General features: G+C 47.0%; 2 protein-coding genes across 5 annotated transcripts in view, besides 2 other annotated features; both read right to left on the bottom strand.

Annotated features, from left to right (window-relative positions):
- The window catches only part of SPESP1-NOX5 (SPESP1-NOX5 readthrough), a 132,238-nt gene continuing 108,251 nt past the window's right edge, over positions 2,817 to 26,803 (bottom strand). For all 3 annotated transcript variants that reach the window (NR_033671.3, NR_033672.2, NM_001184780.2), the window contains 8 exons: positions 26,590 to 26,722; positions 22,774 to 22,916; positions 18,713 to 18,757; positions 18,042 to 18,166; positions 17,668 to 17,749; positions 16,521 to 16,620; positions 10,079 to 10,245; positions 2,817 to 9,014 (listed from right to left, as the gene is read on the bottom strand). Coding sequence is in view for 1 of the 3 variants with exons in the window: in NM_001184780.2 (NP_001171709.1) it covers positions 8,883 to 9,014; positions 10,079 to 10,245; positions 16,521 to 16,620; positions 17,668 to 17,749; positions 18,042 to 18,166; positions 18,713 to 18,757; positions 22,774 to 22,916; positions 26,590 to 26,722 (927 nt within the window). In the remaining 2 variants the exon portion in view is untranslated. The remainder of the gene's footprint in view (positions 9,015 to 10,078; positions 10,246 to 16,520; positions 16,621 to 17,667; positions 17,750 to 18,041; positions 18,167 to 18,712; positions 18,758 to 22,773; positions 22,917 to 26,589; positions 26,723 to 26,803) is intronic.
- NOX5 (NADPH oxidase 5) overlaps positions 2,817 to 26,803 on the bottom strand; it is a 48,068-nt gene continuing 24,081 nt past the window's right edge. For both annotated transcript variants that reach the window (NM_024505.4, NM_001184779.2), the window contains exons 9-16: positions 26,590 to 26,722; positions 22,774 to 22,916; positions 18,713 to 18,757; positions 18,042 to 18,166; positions 17,668 to 17,749; positions 16,521 to 16,620; positions 10,079 to 10,245; positions 2,817 to 9,014 (exon numbers count right to left, since the gene is read on the bottom strand). In NM_024505.4, the coding sequence (NP_078781.3) occupies positions 8,883 to 9,014; positions 10,079 to 10,245; positions 16,521 to 16,620; positions 17,668 to 17,749; positions 18,042 to 18,166; positions 18,713 to 18,757; positions 22,774 to 22,916; positions 26,590 to 26,722 (927 nt within the window). In that variant the 3' untranslated portion in view covers positions 2,817 to 8,882. The remainder of the gene's footprint in view (positions 9,015 to 10,078; positions 10,246 to 16,520; positions 16,621 to 17,667; positions 17,750 to 18,041; positions 18,167 to 18,712; positions 18,758 to 22,773; positions 22,917 to 26,589; positions 26,723 to 26,803) is intronic.
- Positions 5,099 to 5,598: an enhancer, noted in NCBI's record as "NANOG-H3K4me1 hESC enhancer chr15:69352321-69352820 (GRCh37/hg19 assembly coordinates)". NCBI's record gives its function as "activates a minimal SCP1, AML or CMV promoter by ChIP-STARR-seq in naive H9 embryonic stem cells {active_cell/tissue: H9 hESC(naive)}" and the evidence as "EXISTENCE:reporter gene assay evidence [ECO:0000049][PMID:30033119]".
- Positions 16,482 to 16,663: a silencer, noted in NCBI's record as "fragment chr15:69341256-69341437 (GRCh37/hg19 assembly coordinates)". NCBI's record gives its function as "represses an EF-1alpha promoter that drives an FKBP-Casp9 reporter gene in an ReSE screen in phorbol 12-myristate 13-acetate-treated (for megakaryocytic differentiation) K562 erythroleukemia cells {active_cell/tissue: K562(+PMA)}" and the evidence as "EXISTENCE:reporter gene assay evidence [ECO:0000049][PMID:32094911]".

Raw genomic sequence — 26,803 nt, 5'->3', positions numbered from 1 at the left:
AGCACCTCATGAGGACTGTGCTGGCATCTGCCCCTTGTATTGGCACTATGGGCCTGTGTGTTTCCCTCTCACTCTAGGGCAGGGCCTATGCTTCATCTTGGTATCCTTGTTAACTGATACAGTGCCTGACACGAGGCGGACACTCAGCCAATGCCTGTGGGGTGAATGAATGAATGAGTGGTTCTCTAATGGTGACAGAGTAGGTCTCACCTGATTTAGTAGGGCTTTTCTCCCTGGGAGTTTAGCCTCAGTGTGGCTCTGGGTCGGGGGTCAGGGGCTTTATGGAGCCCTTCTGCCCTCTGCCCCTAAAGCCAACCTTATTTCCTGCTCACTGTCACCATCATCCTCTTCTCTAGAGCCGGAATCCCCTAGGAGCATTTCCTTGTTTTCCTCCTCTGGAGAAGAAGAGCCCAGAGCCAAGGAGCAGAGGGCTGCAGAGCATGGCTCAGATTTGATAAACAGGCAGGAGATTTCAGCAGCAATCAGGAGAGGAAATCACACACATTATCCCCGGAATTCATAATGCACCGCTAATGAGCTGGAGGGGCTGGGAGTGGATCTCCACCCACCTCTTGCAGCCCAGGATCATCAGTGTTTGGAGAAGGATGCAGGGAGGGGCAGTGCCATAGCCTGATGGTCCTCTCAGGAAGGGAAGGCATTTATTAGGCCTCCAAATGTGGCTTGGTCACAAAGGACGTGAAGATGAGGGGCTGCAGAGACCTCCAGGGGGCAGTGGAGCTGCGGAGGGGTGCATGCAAGGTGGGGGACCCACAGCGACCTCCCTGTTGAATAACCTTTCCCTGAGAAAGTCCTAACATCTGGGAAATTTCTAAATCACATTATCATTGAATTAGTATCTATTGAGGCTTGTCATAGGCAGGAACAATGATCAGCATTTATTGAACCTTTGTGCCCCAATGCTGATAGTTTACAGTTGTACCTTATCCAATTCTCTACCTCCTCCCCAAATGCACATACTCACACCACGTGCACTCACATACATTCTCACACACTATGCCCCCTCCCACACACACTCTCCATGGTGAGGTGGGCATTGCTGCCCTCACTTTACGGGGTAAAGGAAGAACTAAAACACCAAGCATTTCATGACTTCCTGTCATCACACAACTCCTGGCATGTGCGCCCCAGGGGATTGACTCCAGGTACCCGTGCTCCTGTCTGCACTTACTGTCTGCCGCTTCCCTGTTTTATTTTCTGAGAGCACTTACTCTCCGTAATGTCATTGTTTATTCATCTGTTTACTTGGTTTTTGCCTGCCTGCCTCCATAGAACGTAATTGTGATGAGGATGATGACAGACAACATTGACTGAAATATACTACATGCCAGGCACTGCGTTAAGCACCTCATGTACATTCACTCATTTAATCCTTGCCATTACTCTACCTAATAGTACCAATCTTATGATCATCCCCATTTTACAGGTGAGAATGCATTCACTAGGCCAAGGCCTGGAATACAGGAATGAGTATGGCTTGGATCCCCATCTGATCAAATGAGGCAGTGGCTTCTTCCCTCAGGGTAGCAACGCCTTGGGGAGAACAGGCTCCTGCCACGCCCCTGTCAGTCATATCTCCCTCCTCCCACTCTTGGCCCGCCCTAGAATGGGGCTTTCAGGGGGCTCTGTTGAGTAAAGCAGGTCAGTAAAGCCCTCTCAGGCCTTTGGGCTAACTGTCCCCATTCAGTGTCCCTCTGGCCTCTTTCCTCTGTGGCATCTGGCAAGGGCCCCAGGCTCCTGGCCTGGTTGTTCACGCACAGAGATATCCACAGACACCAACTGCTGGGTCCCCCGCCTGCCCCATTCTGCTAGGTGATTGATGGGGCCACTCTTGCTCTCAGTCCCAGAGAGCTCCTTTGAATAATAACTTAGCAAAATTACCTCTCTTTTTGCTTTCCCTATCTCTGATTCATTTGCTTTTTAAGTCATTCATCTCTTTTGAGTTAGAAGAAGAATGAGGAAGAGAAGGAGGAGGTAGCACAAAGGAACCAGCCACCATGAGCCCCGCCTCCTCATTTTTTTTTTTTTTTTTTTTTGAGAGGGAGTCTCCCTCTGTCCCCCAGGCTGGAGTGCAGTGGCGCTATCTCTGCTCACTGCAAGCTCCGCCTCCCAGGTTCACACCATTCTCCTGCCTCAGCCTCCCAAGTAGCTGGGACTACAGGTGCCAGCCACCACGCCTGGCTAATTTTTTTGTATTTTTAGTAGAGACGGGGTTTCACTGTGTTAGCCACAGCGGTCTCGATCTCCTGACCTTGTGATCCGCCTGTCTCGGCCTCCAAAGTGCTGGGATTACAGGTGTAAGCCACCACACCCGGCCCCCACCTCCTCATTTTACCAAGGGGGAGCTGGGAGCAGCTCTGTCACCAGCCTGTCCCATCTTAGTGTGATTTTAAGGTGGAGTGCACATCTGCCAGTGGATTTCTAGGGTTTGCAAATTCAACCTGATCCCTGGCTATGGAATGAAAGCATGTGTGAGAGATCTAGAGCTAGAGCTGGGGGGAGGCGGGATGTTTCTAGGGCCCCTGAAGGTGCACCTTGAAAGGCAGCCAGCTGCTCTACCCACCTGTACCACTGGTCCTGTCTGCCTGCGGGTATGGTGGGATGTTCTCACCCTTGCAGGGGAGCAGCAGAGAAAATAGGGAAAGGAATGAGAAGGAGGCTCAAAGGAGTCACAGCAGCTCACCAACACTTATTCTGATCACTAGGCACTGGGGAGACAAAGCCCACAAGGAGTTCACAGACAAGTAAGTAGGCAAATACAATACCGTCCAATACATGTGTAGGTACAAGTAGGTACGTACAGTACAATCCTACGGAGCAGGCTGTTTATTCTGCGATGGGAGGGACCAGCAAGGAAGTCTTTACAGATAGGCTGATGATAAAGTGTTCCGAAGTCTCAATCTGAAAGTGGAGAAGGGTGCTCCAAGTGTCAGGCGATGCAGAAGCAAAGGCTTGGAGGTGCGAAGCTGCACAGTGTCCTGGGGGAGCACGAAATGATGCTATTTAAAGTAAAAAAAGCAAGGTGGACATTGCCAAGACCTGAGAGGTAGGCAAGGGCCAGGTAATACTGGCTGTAATGGTAGCAGATCTTCATCTAGGGCTTATGTTGGGGGGGCCTTGTGTAGCAGACTCAGGAGTTTGATGGCTATAATAGGAGAGTCCTCCAAAAAGAAGGTGTGCAGTCAGACCCACAGCAGTGTGTGGAGGATGGATCAGAGCCAGGCTGGAGAAAGGAAGACCAGTTAGCTGGGTGGTCTTCCAAGCTTCCTTTCTGGCTAACTGGTCTTCCTTTCTCCAGCCTGTCTCTGATGCACCAATTCAGGCAATAGGCAATTTAAGGACTGAACCAAGGCAGGGCCAGTGGGGAAGGAAATGTGCTTGAGAAGCATTTAGAATGCCATGTTGACAGGCTTGATGATTGGCTGAAGGAGGAAGATGGGGGAGATAGAGGAGCCAAGGGTACCTCATGGGGTCACCAGCTGAAACAGACCATAGCAGTGGAAACATTCATGAAACACGCCAAGCACCTACTAGGTGGTGACGCTATTCTAGTCACTGGGGACACAGAGACAAATCATTCACTGTTCTTGAACATTCTTTAGGGTTATTTAAAGACAAGCTTAATCTGTATTTATAAACTCATGTCCAGCCAAATTTGGGTAAATCTCAGAATTTTTTTTTCCTTTACCAAAAAATGCATCCTTTTCTTCCCTGCCACACTAAAACTCACTACCTGTCTTTCTTTGTTTCTCCAGCAGGCTACACTCACACAGCTAGGGTAGTTTAAGAGGGCCCATTTGTCCCTGAGTAGTATTAGGGCAGCCCTTTTGGGGCCATGGCTGGGTGGCTAAGGTTGGAGGCTGGAAGCTTCCTTGAGAGTCAAGTCTCTTTCCAGCCATTTCTGCCATTCAGGTTGAGTATTTTTCCCCCTGGGATGAATTTCCTCATAAAATAAATGTCTTGTCTGAATTAATCTTATTTTTAAAAGGAGAGAGTCATCATATTGTAAAGACAGATCATAAAAAGATGCATCAATCTGTCAGGAAGGCTGGTTAATATGAGTATTTGTTTAGCACAGACAGTGTGCCCTGAGGCATCTCAACTCCCAGGCTGGGCTGGTGCTGGGCTTAGCCCCTGTGCACACAATTTCACGTGTATGCCCACGGCCTCCACAGTCCTTCTGGACTAGTTTTGGGCCTAGACAGGGCATTTTATTTTAATACTTAGGCCATTCAGGGCCAGCAGCATATTGATAATGGGCACTATAGGAGCCTCCCTTATTGAAGAGCCCACGGAGTGACCCCTGACGGGGAGGGCCAGTCCCCTGGCTTAGGCCCGAAATACTTTCACTTGATACCAAATCAATATTCAGGATCTTAGACAACACTGCAGATAATCTCTGCATTTTGTTTTACTCTTAAAAAATAGATACAAGCCATACAAAAGTACATAAATTAAAAAGTAAAATATCACATGAGTAATACAGGAAGTGAAACCTTACTCAGGTAACACACAAATACAGGAAACAGATAAGAGGAAAACATTCAAGTCCTCCTTTGCCTCCTCCACAGTTAACCACTGCGAACTGCTTAGCATTTGGGCATCATCGGCCATCAGCAAGAAAACGCATCAGGATGGCTGGCTGACTTTTCTCCTTTCACCAGATGTTAACAATGCTGTAGACACATCTGGGCCCCCAACAGATAAGGGCTGTCTGGGCCCAAGACAGATTAAGGCTGGCTTCTAACTGTCTTTCCGTGTATTTTTATCTATTTATCCCCACATGATATACATATGTCATTTATTTTCTGTGTTATAAATAGGATTATATCAAACACTTGGTACTTGTTTTTTCTTTTCTTTTACATGACATCCTATTTGGGGTTTCTTTTTAAAATAAAACTATAATATTAATAAAAACTTAAACTTTACAGAAGGGCAAAAAGTAAAACAAAAACAAAAACACAAAATCCTTTCCTTCATTGTATCCCTCCATTCCCACTCCCCAGAGCACACAGATAAATATACTTTCATGTATCCTTTTAGAAATGACAAGTGCTTAAACGCATACATACTTGATCTGTTCACTTTATAATAAGAAAGTGAGAACTCAGAGAGGTCAAATGATACACCCAAGGTCACACAGCAGACTGTGGCAGAGGCAAGTGTAGGACTCAGTGCCCTGCCTCCCAGAGGGCAAAGGTTTGTCCACTGTGTCTCCAACAGGTTGGCCCAGAGCCAGTCTCGGCTAATGTTCCTCATCCCTCCCTACCTTCAACCTTGTCTGCCAGCCTGGTGACTCTCCATGTTGCCCATGCCCCCTCCCCTCCCACGAATGCCCCAGCTCAGTGTATTAATAGCCTGCACTTGTGCCGCTCGTCCAGGAGGGCCCTGCCTGATTGGTCATTTCAGGAATGCCTGCTGTCTCCGTCAGCGCTGTCCTCACAGAACAGTGCAATGGCACCTGGCAAAGTGGTTCAGTGGGCTTGTGTTTGTGCTTTTGTTCCCCAAATTACAAGTGACAATTAGGTGCAAAAGACTCTTTGTAAGGATAATTCCATTTAAGTAACCCCTTGCCCTGGGAGGAACCGACATCTGGTCTACACTCTGTGCTAGGCTTTGGGTCCCCATGTCTGGCCTTGGGGAGTTTGCAGCTTCATGGGGGAGGATGGGCACACGTGCCGATAACTGGCCTTGCTCCTTCTCTCTTCTCTTTGCATGTGTCAGCCTTATCTGTCGTGGGCCCAGATGTTTCTACAGCATTGGCAACATCTGGTGAGAGAAGAAAAGTCAGCCAGTCATCCGGATGCATTTTCCTGTTGATGGCCGATGATGCCCATCTGCACATCTGGGAAACATCCAGATGGTCAGACCATGCGTGCTGTACACTCACATGTGTGGTCCTGCTGCCTTCGATGACATGTCCACCGAGGCAGACAGAACCTGGACCTGTGAACTCTCCCCAAGCCAGGCCTGTTCAGTTCAACTTGACCTCACCGATGGACATTTTGTTGCAAGCAGAAAAGAGGAAAGCCCAGAACTGGACACTGGGTATGGGGAGGGTAGAGTTTCTGGGGGAAGGCAGCGGCAGTGAGAAGCTGCCAGCTAGAGAAACTGACCTTGAACATGAAGTCTCTTGACTTCACAGAGATGGAGCCTGGAGGTTTTGCCTCTAGTGGGGAGCTTTGGAACAGGGCGTTGTCTTCCCAGCCCCTTTCCCTTTGATTAACTGCCACTCACGGACCAGTCTCACTTCCTGGGAAACAAACCCGCTTGAGATCCGTGATTCTGCAGCGCCCTCTCGTGGGCAACTGGAATCTGTCTGGAGAGAAAACCTCAGGACACGGGCATATGGTCGTCACACATGTGGGCATTCACGGATTTTAGAATCGTATGTCCAAGTCCTTCCACCTGCTCCCACCCACTATATTATTAAGTCCTAAACGAACAGCTGACTATTTGTATATGCGGGTGGGAGCCTGGTGGAAATCTGTTACGAGAGGGCAAAGGACTGAGGGCAGGGCTCAAATGTGTTAAGGCGGTGTAGACAGAGATGGGAAAGAATCCAAAACGGTGACATGCATGTGTGTGTGTGCATTGAGTGCATGTGTGAGACATCCTGTGCTAAACAGATTCTGCCACGTTTCCAAATGATTTGGCACAGCCTGTTTACATCCTCCAACCTTAAGTCAGAACACCCTCTTTAGTTTCCTTCTGTGCCCCAGAGAGCGTTTTGTCCAAGCCTTCCCAAGCCTGATGAAGAGGGGAAAGTACAGACTCAACAGAGGGAAAGAGGTTCCAAGAGTGTGTGGCCTCAGGCTGGTAAAACTCCAGGTGTGAGTTTCCCTGGTGAGTTGTGTGCCTCCCCAGGCTTGCTGGAAATTAAACACGATCTGGTTGGAAGGCCCCAACACCAGGTCTCCTGGCCTTGCTGACTCCCAGTCCAGGGAGATGGAGGCTTGGTGCAAGCACGAGCCCCGCTTTCCACCCACCCAAACCGAATTAGCCTCTCCTTGACTGCAGGCCCCACTCCTCCTCTCGTATTCTTCTTCCCGTTCCTCCTCACATCTTAAAGATGACATCCTCACTCCCATCCTGCTCTGTCCCAGTCCTCAGGGTATGTTTTGCCTTCCCCTTCCCAGGGCCTGCCTCAGCGTCTTCCTCCACCATCCCCTTCCTATTGCCCCTTTCAGAAGAGAGCTTTCCCCCACCTTCATTCTTCCATCCACCCAACTGGCTCATCCCCTGCAGGTCACACCCACCCCTACTGCTGCATCCCAGCCCCACCTTAGATAAGGGACATCATCATCCAGGTTATGATCCGGCTTCTTTACCTCCCCCTTTGCAACCATGGACTTCCAACCCATGGAAAAGAAAGGTGCCAGCTACAATCCCATTGGAAAGTGCCTGGTTCCAACCCCATGATGGCAGCCTTGGGGAAGGGTGCTTTACACTGTCAAGAAGAGAACCTATCAGGACTGACTGCAAGGTGGAGGATGCCCAGGAAATGTGGGGCTCACAGGAGCTCATGGTGTGGCACAGATGGAAATGTCCAGCTCAGATGGAGGAGGTGAGGCCCACCCTGTCCTCTGCCCAGGGCCGCTCCTCCCCACAGTATGTGCTGAGAGAGCCTTTGCTGCCTCTGCTGTTCCCTCCTGCCCAGACAGGGACAGACGCAAACAGAGGCTGGAAAACAGAGACAGAGGGAGCCAGGATAAAGAGAAATGATGTAGATGCACGAAAGCCTGGAGCAGCAAGGAGCTGAACTGAGGTGGAATGTCTTGAGCACTTGGCGTCTCATGTCACCTCACAGCAACTGTGACTGACGGATGGCATCAGCTTATTTCACAGATGAAAATAACAGACATGGGGAAGCTTCCAGGGCCACACAGCCAGAGTGTGGCTGAGCTGAGCTTCCAGGCTTAGCCCGCTTCATCCCCAGGCACTTGGCCTTTCCACGACAGAGAGAGGCACACAAAGAGGCTGTCTCCATCCTGTTTCTCAAGCGACTCAGCACACAGAGAGAAGGAAGAGGCCAGCATACAGAGCCCAGAGAGGCTCTGAGGGACGCGCCAGGAGAGAGGGAGATGGGGAGACAAAGACACAAGGAGGGGCAGGGAAAGATGCTGCTTATTTCTCCCTATGCAAATGGATTTGGTGGAAAATACATATTTCAGGTTTCATTCCCAGATCATCAGAATCAGAATTTCTGGTAGTGGGACCAAGGAATGTGCATTTGAAGAAGGCTCCTCCAAGTAGCAAGGTGTGCTGAGATATTTGCACCTAACTTGAAAATGCATCCAAAAAATCAGATAAATTGACAGATGGAAAGAGGGAGGAGGAACTGATGGATAATATGTGATAAACAGAGCAAATTATTAACTGAGGAGTCTAGAAAGTAGGTAACACTGTTCACTGTATGATTCTTCTCACTTTTTGTAGGTTTGAACAATTTTATAAGATGCCGGAGAAATAAGCTTCCAAATGACTGTGATGATTGGGCAGGTTTGGGACCATGGATGTGGGGGAAGGCTCCGTCGGAAAATGTTTGGAGGAGTGGTTGCCCTCTGCCCCCTCGAACCCCACCCCCAAGCTCCCGTGACCAGCCTCTGGTTCCCTCACTTTCACAGAAACCCCAGAATCTACAGCAGACTGAACAAGGCACTGTCCCTTCCCCTGGGTTCTAGAGGAAGTTCATCTGCCCCTTGGGGTCTCCTGTTCTCTCTGTTGAGCAGGATTAGGGGGTCCCTAGGCTTTGTCTTATTGGGTGGGTCATCTGAGGCTGGTCCCTGTGGGGGCATTTATACTAATGCAATGAAGCAGACCCATGGTGTGGACTTGGGGCAGAGCTTGGAGAGGTGAGGCTAGAAATTCTCTTGGAAAAATCTGAAGCCGAACTTCTCACAATGGCCCTTCAGCACCTTGGCCAGAGCTGGGGAGCCACAGAAGAAGACCTGCACCTTGCCCTTCTTCTCAGCAGCCACTTTCTGGAACACCTGGAGTCAGTGGGGTTGAGGAAGAGAAGAGGGAAGATAGGTGGAGCTGCTGACTCACCAGTGACACAACCACCTGGAGGTAACAGCATAACGGGTCGGCAGCAATGAGCATTCCCATTTTACACAGGGAGCTGCATGGCACAGCTGCTGGGTTTTACAGCAGAGTTCAACACTCAGCCATTCAACTAAGAGCCATTTGTTCAGCTGGCAACATGACCCAGAACCCCAGGTAGAGGACCAGGGCCAGAAATAAATAAGACCCAGGCCCTCCACTCAAGGATCTGCAACTGTGGGAGACAGGCACTAAATCAGACACGCAGAGAGATGCATACAGTGCTCTGGGACTCCCATGGGAGTCTGAACCTGGTGTTAGTCCCCAGGGCTGGCCACCCTGCTGTGATTTAAATATCCTTCCTGATGTCAGTCTTTCCCCCAGTGAGGACCCTTTTCTACCCCAAATTCTGCTTATGAATTGCCTTTTTCTGAAAGTCCTCTTTGATGCCCAAGCACTCACCACAGACATTCCCCTCCCACTCAGCTGTCATGACCCAGGCATGGGGTCATCTGCAGCACTTTTAAAAGCAGCACCTTCTGGGCCACTTCCTGCAAACCGCAAACCCTGACAAGTAAGTGTTCAGGAAAGAAAAATAATAAAACCAATCTGAGAAATAAAATAAAAGGATTGCAAACGATTTCATGTCTCTGTGCCTCAGTTTCCCCATTTGTAACAGGAGATGATAAGATTTGTTGTTTTTCCAGGTCCCTGTCCACTCAGGCCTTTTGACACTGGTCCATAGGGAGTCAAGGCTGCAGGGGTCTTTGAGGTCATAGAGACTAACTTCCTCTCTGAACAGATGGAGAAACTGAGGCTAATGATGGAACAAAGGTTAGTGATAAAGCCAGTGTAGGTGCCCTGTTTACCTTTCACACCACGAGGTCCCTTCTGGACTCTGGACTTAACCTCACACTTTGCCCCTGACAGCTTGGGCCTCGTCTCCCCACCGCTGCCTCGAGCTCTCAGCTTCATCCATACCTGCAAGCTGCAGGGCTCCAGTTGGCATTACCTTGCTCCAGTCAGGCCGCCCAGGCTGGGTGCGCGTCTGCAGCCCCGTGATGGAGTCTTTCTTCTCCTTGTTGGCCAGGAGGTCAAGGGCCATCTGCAGGCCAATGGCCTTCATGTCATTCTTGCCCAGTGCAGATGTCATGTACATATGCAGCTCCAGGAAGCGGCCTGTTGGGCAGGGGACAAGGGCTGCACTGAGGGTCTAGTACCCATCATGGGCGCAGGGCAGGATGCCAACCACTACCTTACCCTGGGGCTTGGAAGGAGACCCATAGGTCTTTTGCCCAGGATCTGTTGTGTAACCAGTGCCATGGAGAGGAAAGGCAGCCCATTGCTTGAGCTGGGCCTACTATGTACATGGCACACATTGGTTACTTTATATGCACTAAGGTGAACCTCACAACCACTCCAAGAGTTAGATCTTTTATATTTATTTATTTAGTATTTTTGTGGAGATAGGATTTCACTATGTTGCTCAGGCTGGTCTTGAACTCAAGCAATCCACCCGCCTCAGCCTCCCAAAGTGCTGGGATTACAGGTGTGAGCCACCATGCCTGGCCAAGACTTTTTGTATTTATAGAAGAAGAAATGCATCCCAGGGAAGTGAGCATGGCAGTCCCTGGGCTCCAAAGCTCATGCCCTTCCATGCCTCACATGTCTGTCCTCAGCCTGGCTGGGGACACAAGCCACACACACATGAAAAGGTAATTTGGACTAAAGGGTCAAGGGTCGAGTGAATGGATCATAGCGTGAAGGCTACTGATATGCAGGGAAGGGCTGATGCAGACAGAGCTGCTTCCCAGAAGGGATGGGGACTGGGTTAGGTCTGGGACAAGGGGTGAGAGTAAAGGCAGAGGTGAAGGGAAGGCATGCTAAGAAGGACTAGTGTGAGTACAGAGTGAGAGGCTAGAACAAACGCGATGTTTGCGGGGCAAGGTGTGGTGCCCGGCTGGAGCCGCATCCTCGGATGGGAGCAAAAGGAAATGGGACTAGAAACAGATTGAGGCCAGAATGAGAAGGGTCTTGAATGCCCAGCTAGGAGACAGGGGAAGGTTGAGAGTAACTGAGTAGGGTGTGACATAATGAAACAGCACTTTAGGAAGGGCATCAGAGAGCTGAAGAGATGGGGAAGGAGACTGGGACGAAGGAGCCCACAAGGCCAGAGCACCCGCAGTTCTGCGCCACAAAGTTATAGGTCTGCTGGGATACTGATGTTTCAGCACTCAGGGGCTCCCAGGTGGGCACCTCCGTGTTCCATAACCAGACATGACATATGAATGTTATCATTTTTATGTATGCCATGGTGAGAAAAAGATTGGTGAGTGCTGCCTTAGGCTTGAGCGTCGGTTCAAGCCAGAGTTGGCAGGGCCTGATCTAGGATGTGGGAAGGAGCATTTCTGAGCTGACTGACGATCACCTCATCCTTCTCCTCTCCCTCTCTTCCTCTACACCCAGACTAAAGGAGCTTTGCCATTCCAACCTGCTCTCTATTGTTTCCTAAGTCACCATCAGCTCATTTTTCATTTGGCCTAAGGTCTCAGCTGCTGTTACAATGCAAATGGCCCTAGGAGGGCTAGCACATTTCATGTCACATGTCACTTAACCCCTAGTCGTGCTGGATGGTGTGGGAGGGAGGGAGATGTATTATGAGATGCCCACCTGGGGGACCCCCTGCTTCTTACCCTCCCTCAGAGTCACCATACCCCAGAGAGGGGTAAGAGGAGAGAAGGGGAGACACCATGGTGGGAGGGAGAAGATAAAGGGGCTGTGGAGGATGACCTGGCATGGTTCTCACTCTCTCCATCCAGCTGTGTTTGAGATAGCCATCTCATTTCTGGGACACTTTCCTAAGAAAATCATCCAAAGCAAGGAAAAAAACTATGTGCACAAATATATTAATTTTGGCATTTTTATGATTATGGAGAATGAGGAATAAACAAAATGTACAGTAGTAGGAGCTTGGTTAAATAATTTACGGTATAACCACTAACTATACCACTCATTATATAGCCATTAAATACTACTACTACTTTTATTAAACACTTATTACTACTAGCACTTCTACTACAAATAAATGTATTAAGCAGTTACTATTACCACCACCACCACCACTAAATTTATCAAGCAGTTTATTAAGCTCCAGTCACTGTTCTATGTGTTCTGCAGATGACATCTCATCTAATTCCCATGACAATCCTATGAGGTGGGTACTAGTAGCATCCAGATTTTTCAGATAACTGCTTTCAAGGCAAACTAGTTAAATAATATGCCCAAGGTCCTATACCTATTAAGGGTAGAGTAAAGATACAAACTTAGACAGAATAATTGACGCTTAAGCTATAGCAATGAAAAATTATAAACCAAAAATTATTTAATGCAAACCTTGACGTATAATTAAAGTTGAAATCAGAAGCCACAAGTTTCAGCTGCAGTTAATGAGAAACCCTGAAAGAAATTTGATGTGATAGAGTTGTTGACTCGAGTGGCTTTGAGAATGCAAAGCACTGGGTTAGCTGTTACCCTTTGTTTACACAGATTAGGAAGAAGCAAACAGCAAATATTTATGTGCCAGTAACTAGAAAATTTAAATTAAATTTAAACTTTTCCTTTAGCTTGTCATCATAAAATTGAGTTTCTAATGAATTAATATACGTAAAAGCATTTAGAAAAATGAAGTCAATGTTATATAAATATTTGCTGTAATTGTTATTTACAAGAAAGGGCAAGGAGCTTTACTGAACTAGTCTAAGCTTGAAGAGTTATCTTCCAAAGACTGTTGACTTGAACTTTAAGGCTCTGAATGTTTGTTATAGTAAACTAGATCTGTTTGGATAGTTTCTTGTAGAAAATTGTGTTTGATTCCTTGAATGTATAAACTGTGTTTATCATAGGAATTTGAATTCACTCATGACAACCTTGTGATAATTAAATAGTCAAATACGATCTAGTTCTAATGAACTCAACAAGTCTAAAACACTATGCCAATTCTCTTAAAAAGTTAGAAACATATCTAAAGATATTTCTTCTTGTATAAATTATAAGGAAAACAAAACAATGACTTTAACAGATTAACATTTAAATACAGTGTAAACCCTCAGTATTCCACAAAGATGTCCCATGAAGACTATGATATGATCCAGAGAAATATTTTATCATACTTAACAATGATGAGAGTAAATGCTTAGTAAAAAATGTAGAATACAGCAAACACTTAGGCAGTGAGGAGGGAGAGGTTGGAGAGGTTGAGGGGAGGACATTCAAACCTTCTATTTTTTTTTTTTTTTGAGACAGGGTCTTACTCTGTTGCCCAAGCTGGAGTGCAGTAGGGCTATCATGGCTCGCTGCAGCCTCAAACTCTTGGCCTCAAGTGATCCTCCCACCTCAGCCTCCCAAGTAGCTAGGGCTACAGGTGCATACCACCATGCCTAGCTAGTTTTTTAAAAAACATTTTTTGTAGAGACAGCATGTGCCTGTGTTGCCCAGGCTGGTCTCAAACTTGACCTCAAGCAATATTCCTACCTTGGCCTCCCAAAGCACTGAGATTACAGGCGTGAGCCACCAGGCCAAACATTCATTTTTGATAAAAGTATAAAAGAAGGGACCAAACAGTTAATGACTTCATGTATGTTAAGGTATTTAATCTTTTTTTAAAAAAAAAACAGGAATGGAAGGAAAAAGGGTGTCTAATCTTTATCTTAGATCACTCTCTAAACTTTTTATTCTCATTTCATCAGAAAAAAGGTTGAGCACTCACCCCCCATAAATATATATCTGTATCCATGTTTGTCTCTACTCACAGCTTGTGTACATCAAAAATGTATGTTGCAGGCCAGGTGCAGTGGTGCATGCCTGTAATCCCAGCACTTTGGGAGGCCAAAGCTGGTAGATCACTTGAGCTCAGGAGTTCAAGACCAGCCTGAGTAACCTGGAGAAATCTCATCTACAAAAAATGAGATTAGCTGGGCATGGTGGCGCACACTTGTACTCTCAGTTACTTAGCAGGCTGAGATGGGAGGATCGCTTGAGCCCGGGAGGCAGAGGTGGCAGTGAGCGCCACTGCACTCCAGCCTGGGTGATGGAGACACACTCTGTCTCAAAAAAAAAAAGAAAAATTTACATTGCCGTAAAATGAACCACATTTACCCTTCCACCTGAAACAACCAGAAAAATGGACAAAACACATGAAACAATGGTTTCCAGACATTGATCAGCAGGTGGCACGGGACTATCATTGCTGAGAGAAGAGAAACAGACGAAGTAAGCCCTACAACAGCCCCGCTTATTGCCTGATGCAGTCTCCTGAGGAGAGGAGAGGAGACAGAAACTGGCATTCACAGAGGCCAGGACAGCCAGAATGTTAAGCACAAGACTGGAAAAGTGAACTGCAGAAAGGAAGAGAGGGAAGGTGAGAAGGAGAGAAGGAGAGATGCAGGGAGGAGGGGAGGCAGGGAGGAGGCTACTCACTTGCTCTGAAAATCTGCATAGTTTCTCCTAAGTCTCTGGCTGAGCATTAATTTGAATGTGTGAAAGAAAATGACCAGAAAAACTAGGATAAACGATACCTCGAGCTTAAACAGCTGGGAATAGTTGGTGTTCTCACTAAAAGCGAAGAGGCTTTGCCGTATATAGCGCATTAGGTGGAGTCCTCAGAAGTGTATCACCTTAGTACTGGGGTTAAATTAATCCCGCACTAAAGGCTGCTCTAGACTCACCCCAATAAAAGTTAAAAGTGAGCCTCAAGAAGATCCACAGTCTTACATAATTTAACTGTGCACCAGAACGAAGTGCAGTACTATTTAAAGAAATAACATAAAATCCAGGCCGGTGGCTCACACCTGTAATTCCAGCACTTTGGGAGGCTGAAGCAGGTGGATCACTTGAGGTCAGGAGTTTGAGACCAGCCTGGCCAACATGGTAAAACCCCTCTCTACTAAAAACACAAAATTAGCCTGGCGTGGAGGCGGGCGCTTGTAATCCCAGCTACTTGGGAGACTGAGGCAGAAGAATTGCTTGAACCTGGGAGGTGGAGGTTGCAGTGAGCCGAGATTGCACCTGGGTGACAGAGCTAAGGTGTTTGCAGTGAAAAGCCAAAAGAGTTTCTCACCAGCAGACCTGCATTACAAAGAACCATCAGTTCTTCAAGCAGAAGGAAAACTTTCCCAGATGGAAATCTCAATCCAGGCACAAAAAGTGAAAAGACCCCAGAAATGGTAAATATATGTATAAAAATAAAAAATTTGCTTTTCTGATTTTTAAATTTCTTTTTAAAAGATAATTGGACAAATGGTGGTACACCCATAGAATGGAATACTACTCAGCAATGAAAAGGAATGAATGGACTTACTGATATATGCAACAACACGGATAAATCTTGAAGGTATTATGCTAAGTGAAAGACGTCAGACGGAACAGACTACGTATTATATGATTCCATTTATGTAAAATTCTGTAAAAGGCAAAATTGTAGTGATAGAAAGCAGACCAGTGGTTGCCAGGGGTTACAAGTCAGGGGAGGGTGTTGACTGCAAAACAGGAAGAGGAAATTTTCAGGAGGAATGGAAAGAAATGCTCCATATTTTGATTGCAGTGGTGGTTACACTACTGTATGCATTTGTCAAAATGTCATTGTATTTATTGTACGCTTAAATTGGTAAATTTTATTGTATGTAAATTATACTTCAAAAGCCAAACACAAATTAGTGTGAATAAGAATCGTTTGAGGAGCATGTTAAAATGTACATCCCTGAGCCTGACTCTCAGAGAATCTATCTGATTTGGAAGATCTGGGGTGAGGCCTAGGAATTTAAATTTTCAACATGTGCCTATTCTGAATTAAAAGATATGTCATGAAAAAGATAAATTACAAAAATAAAGAAATATATTTTTATAAAATATGAATAAGAAAACAAAAATTGGAAGGGAATCCTTTAAAATGCCTGATGTCATCTGGATAGCCTGGATAGCTGGATGAGATTATGAGGGCTTTTTTTTCCCCCTTCTATTTTTCAACTTTACAAAATGTTACATTTTAATAGAATCTCCCCCCATCCTACTTCTCCAGAAATGGAATAAACACCTCTTAAAAAGACTCTGAATTAGCCTGGGCAATATAAGGAGATTTCATCTCTACGAGAAAAAAAAAAAATTAGCGGAAGTGGTGGCCTGCACCTGTGGTTCCAGCTGCTCTGGAGGCCAAGGTGGAGGATTGCTTGAGCCTGGGAGGTGGAGGCTGCAGCGAGCCATAATCGTGCTACTGCACTTCAGCTTGGGCGACAGAGTGAGACCTTGTCTCAAAAAAAAAAAAAAAAAGACTCTGGGTTCACTTTAATGGTTAAATGGTTCATTTTAGGTTACGTGAGTTTCATATCAATAAATTATTTTTTTAAAGAAGCTGAAGGCCCCTGCCCTACTCCTACTGCCCTCAGGCCCTGTCCCTCTCTTACCGTATTGAGCCTCCTCGGCCTGGTCCATCTCCAGTTTAGTCAGCAGGCTCACAAACCACTCGAAAGACCGCTGGTCTCTGTTGATCCAGATAAAGTCCACCTACGGAGAGAGGCCCTTCAGCTCAGAGGCTGGGTCTCCCTGATTTGCAGGAGGCTCACATCTGTAATCCCTGGGACCCATATGACCACCCTGAAGTAAGCAGGGAACATTCAGATACCCATTTAAGGGAGGGAAAAATCAAGGCTCATAGAGGTGAGCAGCCATGCCCAGATCACAGAGCAGCATGGGACCAGAACCAGGTTTCTGACCCCAAGGCGGGGATTTTCTCTAATATCTTCTATTGTTTACAACAAACAGTGTGTTGAAATACTAGCTTAGGATAGCCAGAAAAACATAAATTACTTTTTAAGAAACTCTTCTAAGTGGCCTATACAGGATGATGAATTTTCAAAAGGCAAACATGTTTCCATTATTATTTGATTATATTATTTTAATTATTATTATTATTTTTATTATTTCTTTTTTGAGACAGAGTCTCACTCTGTCACTCAGGCTGGAGTGCAGTGGTGTGGTCTTAGCTCACTGCAACCTCTGCCTCCTGGGCTCAAGTGATCCTCCCACCTCAGTCTCCCAAGTAGCTGGGACCACAGGTGCTCACCACCACACCCAACTAATTTTTGTATTTTTGTTAGAGATGGGGTTTCGCCATGTTGCCCAGGCTGGTCTTGAGCTCTTGGGCTCAAGTGATCTGCCTGCCTTGGCCTCCCAAAGTGCTAGGATTACAGGCATGAGCCACCATGCCCAGCCAGTATGTTTTCATTCTTAAAACCACCATAGGGTCATGGATAGGTAGCATCATGGCTGTAACTGAATCCAGACTGCCTAGCTGTCAAGCTTTGCAACATTTAATGAAATGTTAAGAACATCTCTCAGAAGTGATGGGAATGTTGAAGCAGGGGCGGAGCTCAGACATTCAGGAGGCACCGGGATAACTCATTTAAGAGAATTCAGGGTATTGTGGGGAAAGAAAGATCCCATTAGGGATCACCTATCCGCTCCCACCTTTGCACAGGAGGATGGGCTCCTATTTTAGGAGTTGTCCAGGGGAGAAGGTCTGGAGGCCTGCCTGCAGGAGGTGGTACTCACCTTATGGAGCTTCATGTTGTCTTGGACACCTTCGATCCAGGAGTGCTGGCAGCTGGGGCAAGTATGCTTTCTTTTCTGGTGCCTGAGGGGAGGCAGGAGGAAGGGGTTGTAAATTTGGGGTGAGACTTTTCAGGACCCCAGAGAACAGTTCAGGGGACAGGGAGCAAGGATGGGGTGGCAGAGCCCACTCTATGAGGAAGGGGAGGGATGAGACACAAAAAGGAGAGGGGGGCAGAGCAGGAGAGGAAAGAGAGAGAAGAGCAGAGAGAGACAGGTGAAAGGAGAGGAAGGAGAAGGAATAAAGGGAGGAGGAGCAGGGAGGGCGCCTTGGGGCTCTGACCCAGGATGCAGGCAGGAGCACACTGTTCACCCACCTGTACATGATACTCTGCAGAATGGAAGCAAAGGGGGTGATGCCGATGCCTGCCCCGATGAGCACGGCATGCTCAGAGGCAAAGATCCTGCGGGTGGGGGTCCCATAAGGCCCATCGATGTAGCACTGTGCACAAGAGGGCATCAGAGAAGAGAGATGGGGGGTGACGCTGGTCTCCCCTGCTACCAGGGGATGTCCCCAGGGCTTCAGAACCCCCTTTATATATAGAAAGACATCTCCTGGGCTGGAAGCCAGGTCTAAGTGGCTCCCACTCCAGTGCTCTTTCCACATCCTGTGCTCTCAGCACCAGTCTGGGGAGAGCTCTAGGTGTTACAGTGCAGAGCTAGTGAAAACAAGGACCCAATTCGCATCCCTGGGGTGTGTGCCGTGGGTGCCCAGGAGACAGGGATGGAGAGCACGTAGGCCTATACACTGTACACCCATCCCTGCTCCTGGTGAAGAGACAGGCTGAGGGTGAGGCTGAGCACCCTTGGATATAAAGAGCAGGGGGAGGGATGTGGTTACATGACCCGGATACCTGGATGTCAGCCCATGAGGATTTGAGGAGCTTGAGTACCCACAACCACAACAGCCCCTCCTTAAAGGCAAAGACTTCATTTCCTTTGGTTGGGGCAGGCATTATTGCTCACGTCCACCCCTGCAGCCTCTCACCTTGATGTTACAGAATTTGTGTTTCTCCAAAAGTATCTCAGAGCCCTGCAGGGAGTAGAGCAGAGAGTTATGGGTCTTGGAATGGACAGTGTTAGGGATTTCTTAGAAGTTTCTTGCCCTTGCCAGTCTGAGCAACTTTATAAAAAGGGAATTGCTTTTTCTGCCCAAACCATTCAGGGAACACGAAGCTCTTTTGAAAGAGAACATCAGGGATGTGCTGGTAAACTGACTTCTGGCGAAGGGATAACAGTCTTGATTGTTAGCTTCTGCCCATTTCTGTGGTGTAAATCCTGCCCACCATGGCTCCCACCATAACAACTGTGTTTAACAACCAGCTCATGAAATTCCTGAAAATTTAACAGTGGCTCCTATGGTCCAGCACAAGTCAGTTTCAGGGTGTGACTGGAGAGCATTCCCCTACTAGCCTGGAATATTCTTTTCCCTCTGCCTGAAACACCCTTTCCTCTTCCCCAGCTGTCAAATTCTGTCAGTGTACACTGTATCCTTCATTGTCCAGCTCATTTGAAGTTGCTATTCCTCTTCAAAGCTCTTCCCACCTTCTCCAAGCAGAGAAGCCAGGGCCTCCCCTGGCTCACAGCTCCCCAGGCCCTAGGGCTTTGCTCTGGGGTTCAGACAGTGTGCTCCTCGGGGAAGAGAGCAGGCCTCCTCTGTCTTCCTCAGGACTTAGAGCGTGGTAGACAGTCAGACAGCCCTGTCCAAGTCAATGCCTTTCCTTCTGGAAGGTGAAGGAAGCAGACCCCAGAACAGGCCTGAAGGAGCCTGTGCTATTTCCCGCTCTGGTGCAGGAGGCAGAGTTAGGAGTGACCTTCGCAGTCATCCAGGCTGAAAGCATGGGAAGGACGTGCCCACATTCCCACAGAGCTCGGGTAGAGCCTGGGTCTCCTGCTGCCTGTCCAGGATTGTGACATCACGCTGTGTTGCTTCTTTGTCCCGAGATGACTGAAGGCTGCTCCCCCTGGTGTGGGGCATGAACTCCTGGCGGTGGTTTGAGAGTTATGCTGTGAGACAGCTCTTCTCCTTTTAATTTTCTTTAGTCCTTCTGATGGCAACGAGAAAGCCTTCCATTCTGGCTAATGCATCTTTTAACCTCTCTAACACTTACTAATCTCTTCTCTTTTTTCCTTCCTTTTTACAAAGTGAGAAAGGAAAGAAAGAAAAGAAAGAAAGAGTGAAAGAAAGAAAGAGAGAGGGAGGGAGGGGGAGAGAGAGAAGGAAGGAAGGAAGGAGAGAGAGAGAGAAAAAAAAAAGAAAGAAAGAAAGAAAAGAAAGAAAGGGAAGAAAGAAAGAAAGAAAGAAAGAAAGAAAGAAAAAAGAAAGGAAGAGAAAGAAAGAAAGAAGGGAGAGGGAGGGAGGGAGGAAGGGAGGAAGGGAGGGAAGGAAGGAGTAAGAGTGTGGAGCACCACCTCTGGCATGGAGCCTTAGCAGACAGGCCATCTAGCAAGAATTTAATAACATTGATTCTCATTGTTTTTACTTTCAGAGCTATCCTGTGCAGCATGCGATACTAGTTTTCCATTAGAGATAATAATCTTATGACTTGTTTTGAATACAATTAAGTTTAAAGTAATGTTGGGATGTAAGAGAAATACTAAGTAGAAAGTATTACTGGGGCAGTTCTTACGCAAAAGTTAGGAAGGTAGCAGGCAGATGATTGGCTTCAGAGACATCCAAGTGATGTGTCATACTTCCTGAACATGGCTTTGCCCTTAAGGCATGTTGCAAGGACCCACGATCCCTGGGAAGATAAGCCAGCTGGCCCTCCTGTCTCTAGTCCCACCTTCCTCAGCCTTACTAGGCCACTGTCTTCAGAAGAAGTTTCCCACTGTGTGTGAGTCTCCTCCTTTGTCTTCGTGTACACCAGGTCTTCGTCCTGCGGCCAGGGATCTCCCTTGGGCCTATAGGACGTCAGCTCCAGTGACATCCTTGGATGCCACAACTCCCTGTGCTGAGATGCAGGACTGGATGAGTGGGGGCTGTACACTCTGCTTTGTTTCAAAACAGAAATTTCTTTATTATTTAAATCACAAATCGATAATGTTAGCTTTAAAAATGCAGATATAGAAACTATTAAACAATAGTGAAAAAAGTATCAGAGCACATAACTACTCAACATTTTCTCTATGCCCTTACAGATTTTTTTCTAACACAGACATACACAACACTTTTACATAAATGGAGCATACTTTTTAGTAACCTGCTTTTTCCACTTACTACATCTTGACTGGTTTTCCAGGTAAATACATTTAAATTGACCAAATCATTTTTTTTAGGAGACTTAATATTCTATTGTAAAGGTGATCAGCAATTTATTTAGGTATTTTCCTATTGTTCGGCATTTTGATTAGCCTCATTTTCTCATTATTGAGAACAACCACCCTCTCTGAAATAGCACTTTTCCCATCCCTACCTCTTGACACTGACTTATTTATCTTTATAGCATTTATTATCACCTGAGATGTTATGCATATATTTATTTGTTCATTGTCTGTCTCCCCACCAGAAGGTAAGCAGTGACTATGCCTATGTTGCTTACTGATAGATCTCCAGCATCTAGAACAGAACCTGGAAAATAGCAGATGCTGTGCTTCATAAATATTTGCTAAATGAACAAGGAAATTACTATGTTTTGTGTGCACCTGTCCAATTAGCTTTTTTTTTTTTTTAGTTGGAGCCTCATTCTGTTGCCCAGGCTGGAGTACAGTGGTGTAATCTCGACTCACTGCAACCTCTGCCTCCTGGGTTCAAGAGATTCTCCTGCCCCAGCCTCCCGAGTAGCTGGGACTACAGGCACGCACCACCACGCCTGGCTAATTTTTGTGTTTTTAGTAGAGACGTGGTTTCACCATGTTGGCCAGGATGGTCTCAATCTCCTGACCTCATGATCCGCCAGCCTCGGCCTCCCAAAGTGCTGGGATTACAGGCGTGAGCCACCGTGCCCGGCCCCCAATTAGCTTTTAAGAATACATCTCTAAAATGGAGTTGCTGGGTGTGTAGGTATACATATTTAAAATGCTGACACATATGGCCAGGCTGCCTGCCAGAAAGTTGCGCCAATTTATAGTGGCAGAGGTGACTGAGGTCCCAAGAAAACAGCTTTTAGTGTATCTAGCCCATTGATCCACAGTGTGCCATGACTCATCTGATTTTGAAAGTCAGCTTCCTCCTTCAGGAAGTTTCCCTGATTAACAGCCGAGAACGTTCTGCTTCTCCTACCTATCCCTGCATATCCCAGACCTTTGCTCCTGGTGTGGTCCTGGAAAGGTCCTCTGGTCTGGCCAAGCAGGATCTCACCTGGATTTCAACTCTGGATTTTAAATTCCCCAATGGCAAGGTAGGGTTGGGCCAGGCCTGGGAACGTCTCCTATGGCAGGGTTTTCATATGTTAACCTGTATCCCAGTCAGGAGGCACAGTCTACTTAGTTTGAGTTCAGCCACCCTCGGCCTCAGCGTCTATTCTTATTTCTTTAGCAGTTGCTCTGTCTCTCTCTGTTCCTCCAAAGCCTTGATGACACCAGCAACTCATCAGCTTTATAGGTTTCATCAAGGCTCAAAAGAGAATAACATTGCTGATGGTGATGATGATGATGAGGGGCCCACCTGGACCAGGCTGCCTATTTCAAGCAATACTTTATGTGCATTCATTCAGTTGGTTTTTAAAATAGTCACAGGAGAAAGGTAAGTAACAGAGGAAACGACTTCTATTTTATAGATGAACAAACCAAAAGACATGCCCAAGCCCACACAGTTAGAAAGTATTAGAGCAGAGACCTGGAGATGGGATTTTCTGATTTCAATTTCCACTCTCTTTCTGTTGCTCTCTCCCCCTTCTAATGGGGGACATCAGACTGGGAAGGATCTGGAGTGGTCAGACTTCGAGAAGGTTCTTGGACCACGGAGTTAGCAGTTGCCTAACCCCCTTGTGCTGCCATCTATGTACACAGCAGTTGCTCAATAATTGATGCTCACTGAGAAGAAGGAGGCAACTTGGTCTCTGTGGACTTGCCAGCAGAGTGGACCCCTTCCCTCCAGTAGCCACCTACCTTGGACGACCTTTGACTCTTTCTCATTGTCACACTCCTCGACAGCCTCTTAGAACCACGGCCCAGTGGGTCTGATGCCTTGAAGGACTCATACAGCCTGTTTGTCCACTGGCCTTGGGACCGAATGTGCAGCCAGATAGTGTCTGAGAAAGAGAAGAGTGGGAGGGGAAAGGAGGTCCATAGTGACCGGCACCAGGGAGCAAGCCTCACCCCACTGGAGGGATTGCTGCTGGGCCTCAGCCCTCCAAGTCCTGGTTTGAATGTCCTTCCTCAGGACCAGACTAGCAGCCATAGCCACAGGACTTGGAGAGCTGATCTCTGTGGGGCAGACCTTGAGATCTTTCTTGATGAAGTCAACCTGAGCTTAATAAGGGTACAGACTCCTGTACCAAAGAAAGGATCAGAGCAGCTCACTAGGAATTTTCTAAAGGCAGGGACTCTGCCACCTTCATCAGGCCAAGGACTCACCAAAACAGGCCCTCCTGCTATTCAATGGTTGTGCACACAGTAGGCGCTCAGTCCATGGTGGTACCAACTGCTTTCATGATACCCATGCCTGGGATGTAGCAGGTGCTTACTAAGGTCATCTGTTGAATGAATGACTGATGGAAATGTGGTGTGAGGTGACGTGACTCTTCTGCTGAGTGGTACCAAATAGAATCCACAACATCAGAGTGAGGAGGATGCAAGAGATCTCCTGCTTTGAACTCTTGCCCTTTTCCTTTTTTTTTTTTTTTAAACCAGGGATTCTTTTAGCAGTCCTGTGAAGGCAGTGGATAGTCTCCTTCTCAGAATAAGGGTCTAAATACACGAAGCAGGGATGGCCAATCTTTTGGCTTCCCTGGGTCACATTGGGAGTACAAGAATTGTCTTGGGCCACACATAAAATACACTAACACTAACAATAGCTGATGAACTAAAAAGAAAAAAAAAATCACACAAACAAAAAAATCTCATCATGTTTTAAGAAAGTTTATGAATTTGTGTTGGGCCACATTCAAAGCCGTCCTGGGCCCCATGCGGCCCAAGGGCCACAGGTTGGACAAGCTTGACATAAAGTAATATACAGAGAAATTACATATGAATCCAGTTATAATTAGTTATCAAAATGTTAAAAAAAATTTGTGACTTAGGAATCCATGTGCTTCTTTGTTAATACATGAATTAATGAGCTGTAGCAGGACCCAACGAGCCCTGGGAATCAGAAGTAGTAGTGAGCATAAATACTCTTGAAGCATTGGCCACAACTGTAACATACAGAAAGGCATCCATGGTTTTTACCGTGAAAAAGTCAGAGGTATCATTAATGCTCCTGGGGTTTGTTGCTCACATTTATCATTGAAGAAAATGCTAAATTTCAGTTAGAGGTTAGTAAAAATAAAGATGTTCCATTCAAGTTGATGAAGGAATTCATGACCTGGTGTTACTCTGCATTTTACAGAGGCTTAGAGAGGTGCTTCATAGTTTATGAGGAGTGGATTGAAAAGTCAGGACTGGAGCTCAAGTTCTAGGATCCTAGCTCCATCCACCTCTCTGAGGTTTCCTCCTTCATTAAGGCATCAGCATCCCAAGTCGCTTGAAGTGCCTCAAGCAATGACTCAGACCTAGGAGGTCTCCAAGAATGGTGGTTGAATTCATTCAGCCACAGCTGCTAAACTGAGTCCCACTCCTGACTCCAGTAAACAAGCTCTGTAAACGAAGTTGGTATATTATCAGCCCCCACATGAACCCTCTCAGCTCAGGGCAGGAGACTCTCCCAGGGTCCAAGGACAGGCAGATTCCAAACTGAGACCCAGAAGAAATCCCTTCAAGAACTGGTGAAGGTGGGGCACAGTGGCTTATGCCTGTAATCCCAGCACTTTGGAAAAGGTGGGTGGATCACCTGAGGTCAGGAGTTCAAGACCAGCCTGGCCAACGTGGTGAAATCCAGACTCTACTAAAAATACAAAAATACAAAAAAATTAGCCATGCATGGTGGCACGTGCCTGTAATCCCAGCTACTCAGGAGGCTAAAGCAGAAGAACCCGGGAGGCGGAGGCTGCAGTGAGCCAAGATCACACCACTGCACTCCAGCTTGGGTGACAGAATGAGACTCTAAAAAAAAAAGAACTGGTGAAATATAACAAGTTTGGAAAGTTAGGGGAGAAAAAGAATTGGTGAAATACATGACACGCCCATATAATATTAATAATAGTCAATAACCATATTAGTATCCACACACTGGAATACCATGCAGCCACAAAAAGGAAAAGCTGTATATTCACTGATATGCAAAGATCTCCATGACATACTGTTCACTAAGAAAAAGTGTGCTGCTATGAAACACTGCCTGTAGTGTGAGCCCATGTATACAAAATCTCTCCATCTGATTAGCCATGTAGATAGATAGATAGAGAGAGAGAGCTGGAAGCCTATTCACCAAATAATTGGCAATGGTTTTCCTTGGATAAAATTATTTGAAGGATTCTCATTTTCTTCTGTACATATTTTGATATTGTCTGAGTTCTCTGAGAGCATAGACGTTCTTTACAAAGTAGAAAAGAAAAGGAAAAAAATAGGGAGAAAATAGCTTCACCCTCTCCAACCTCTAACTTTGTTCCGTGGTACATTGAGGGCACAATTCAGGTGATTCCAAGGTAGGGGGTATGCAGCCCCACATGGGGAAACCCTGGCCTTGGGTCTACATCGTGAGCTGAGGGATCTGGGCCAGGGGTCCTGCTGGGCTGGGTCTGGGAGGCATCCTGAGTGACACTAAAGCTTGTAACCAGGATGAGTCAGAGAACCCCCAGCACCCAGGGCTGGATACCCCTCATGAAGCCAAGCCAGGGTCTTACTGTAATAGGTCACTCAAGGCCTTCCCTGTTGGAAATGTCAGTGCAAGCCACACTTGTCATACTTGGAGGCACCTCTCGTGGTGGGAAGGCCAATCATTGGCCTGGCCAGAAGGGCAGAGGTCCAGGTAGCAGCTCTAAAAACAGCCTGGGACCAGAAGGAAGGCACGTGCACGGGTGAGAGTCAGAGGACAGCTGAGCAAAGCATCAGCTGAACTGTTCTGTGTGTGCTGGGAACCCAAAAAGCAGTGGGAATAGTTCAGGGCTGGAGAAGGGTGTGAGGGATTCTGCTGCCTTGGGGCTCTATAAGGCCCAAGTCCAGGTGGGAGTAGGGAAGCCTGGTCTCCCATCGCAGCCCTCTTAAAAATGCCTATATCCTCTCCTGAGCTGGCTACTCCTCTGCTTAAGAACCATTCCTGGCTCCCAATTGGCTGCTCCATCCATCTGGATTCCAACTTTGCTTCTGAAGTCCTCCTTAGTCCCATCCTAGCTCTAACTGGCTTTGCCAGCCACATCACCTGCCTTTCATGCTCTTTTTCTCTCTCTGTATGTCCCTCCCTTCTTTCCTTGCTACTCCACCTGCCTACCCCCCGCCACCCCCCATAGCTCTAGTTACAGAAGACTCTTCTGAGTTTCCAGGTCCTCATGTTTTTACTTCTGCTTTTCCCTCTGCCTCCTCCCCATCTCCTTCCCTATCTGGTAAACTCCTGCTAACCATTCAAAGTCCAGCTGAATGCCCCTGTGTCTGCAAAGGCTTCTCTCCACCAAGCCAGGCCCTCCCTGTAAGACTTCAGTGCAGCTGGTACAGCCCTTGCCATGCCAATCGGTGTCTGCATGCCTGCTCCCACTTCAAAGAGAGCTTTTTGAGGCTGACTTTGTGTTTCTGGCCTTGTTCAGTGCTGTGTTCCGAGTTTCCAGCCTGTACTTGGCCCACGGTAGGAACTCAGTGAATATGTGCAGAGTGACTGGAGGAGGTGGCCATTACCTTTCTGCTCAGGAGCACTGCTGATGGTGAAGGGGTGCCACTCATAGCGAGCAATGGTGGGGATGTTCAGATACAAGTAGTCACCAGGTCTATAGTGAAAAAAAGGGGGCCGCTTGATGAGGAGATGAGTGACCTGGGAAAGAGGAAGGAGATCTGCATCATTCCTGCAGGCCCAAAGCCACCAGGGGCTACAGGACAAGAGGGCAGAAGCTGG

Source organism: Homo sapiens, chromosome 15 (genome assembly GCF_000001405.40).
Source record: "Homo sapiens chromosome 15, GRCh38.p14 Primary Assembly".
NCBI classification, from domain to species: domain Eukaryota; kingdom Metazoa; phylum Chordata; class Mammalia; order Primates; family Hominidae; genus Homo; species Homo sapiens.
The sequence above is the reverse complement of the archived record's forward strand: the minus strand, read 5'-3'. Positions and strand labels throughout refer to the sequence as shown.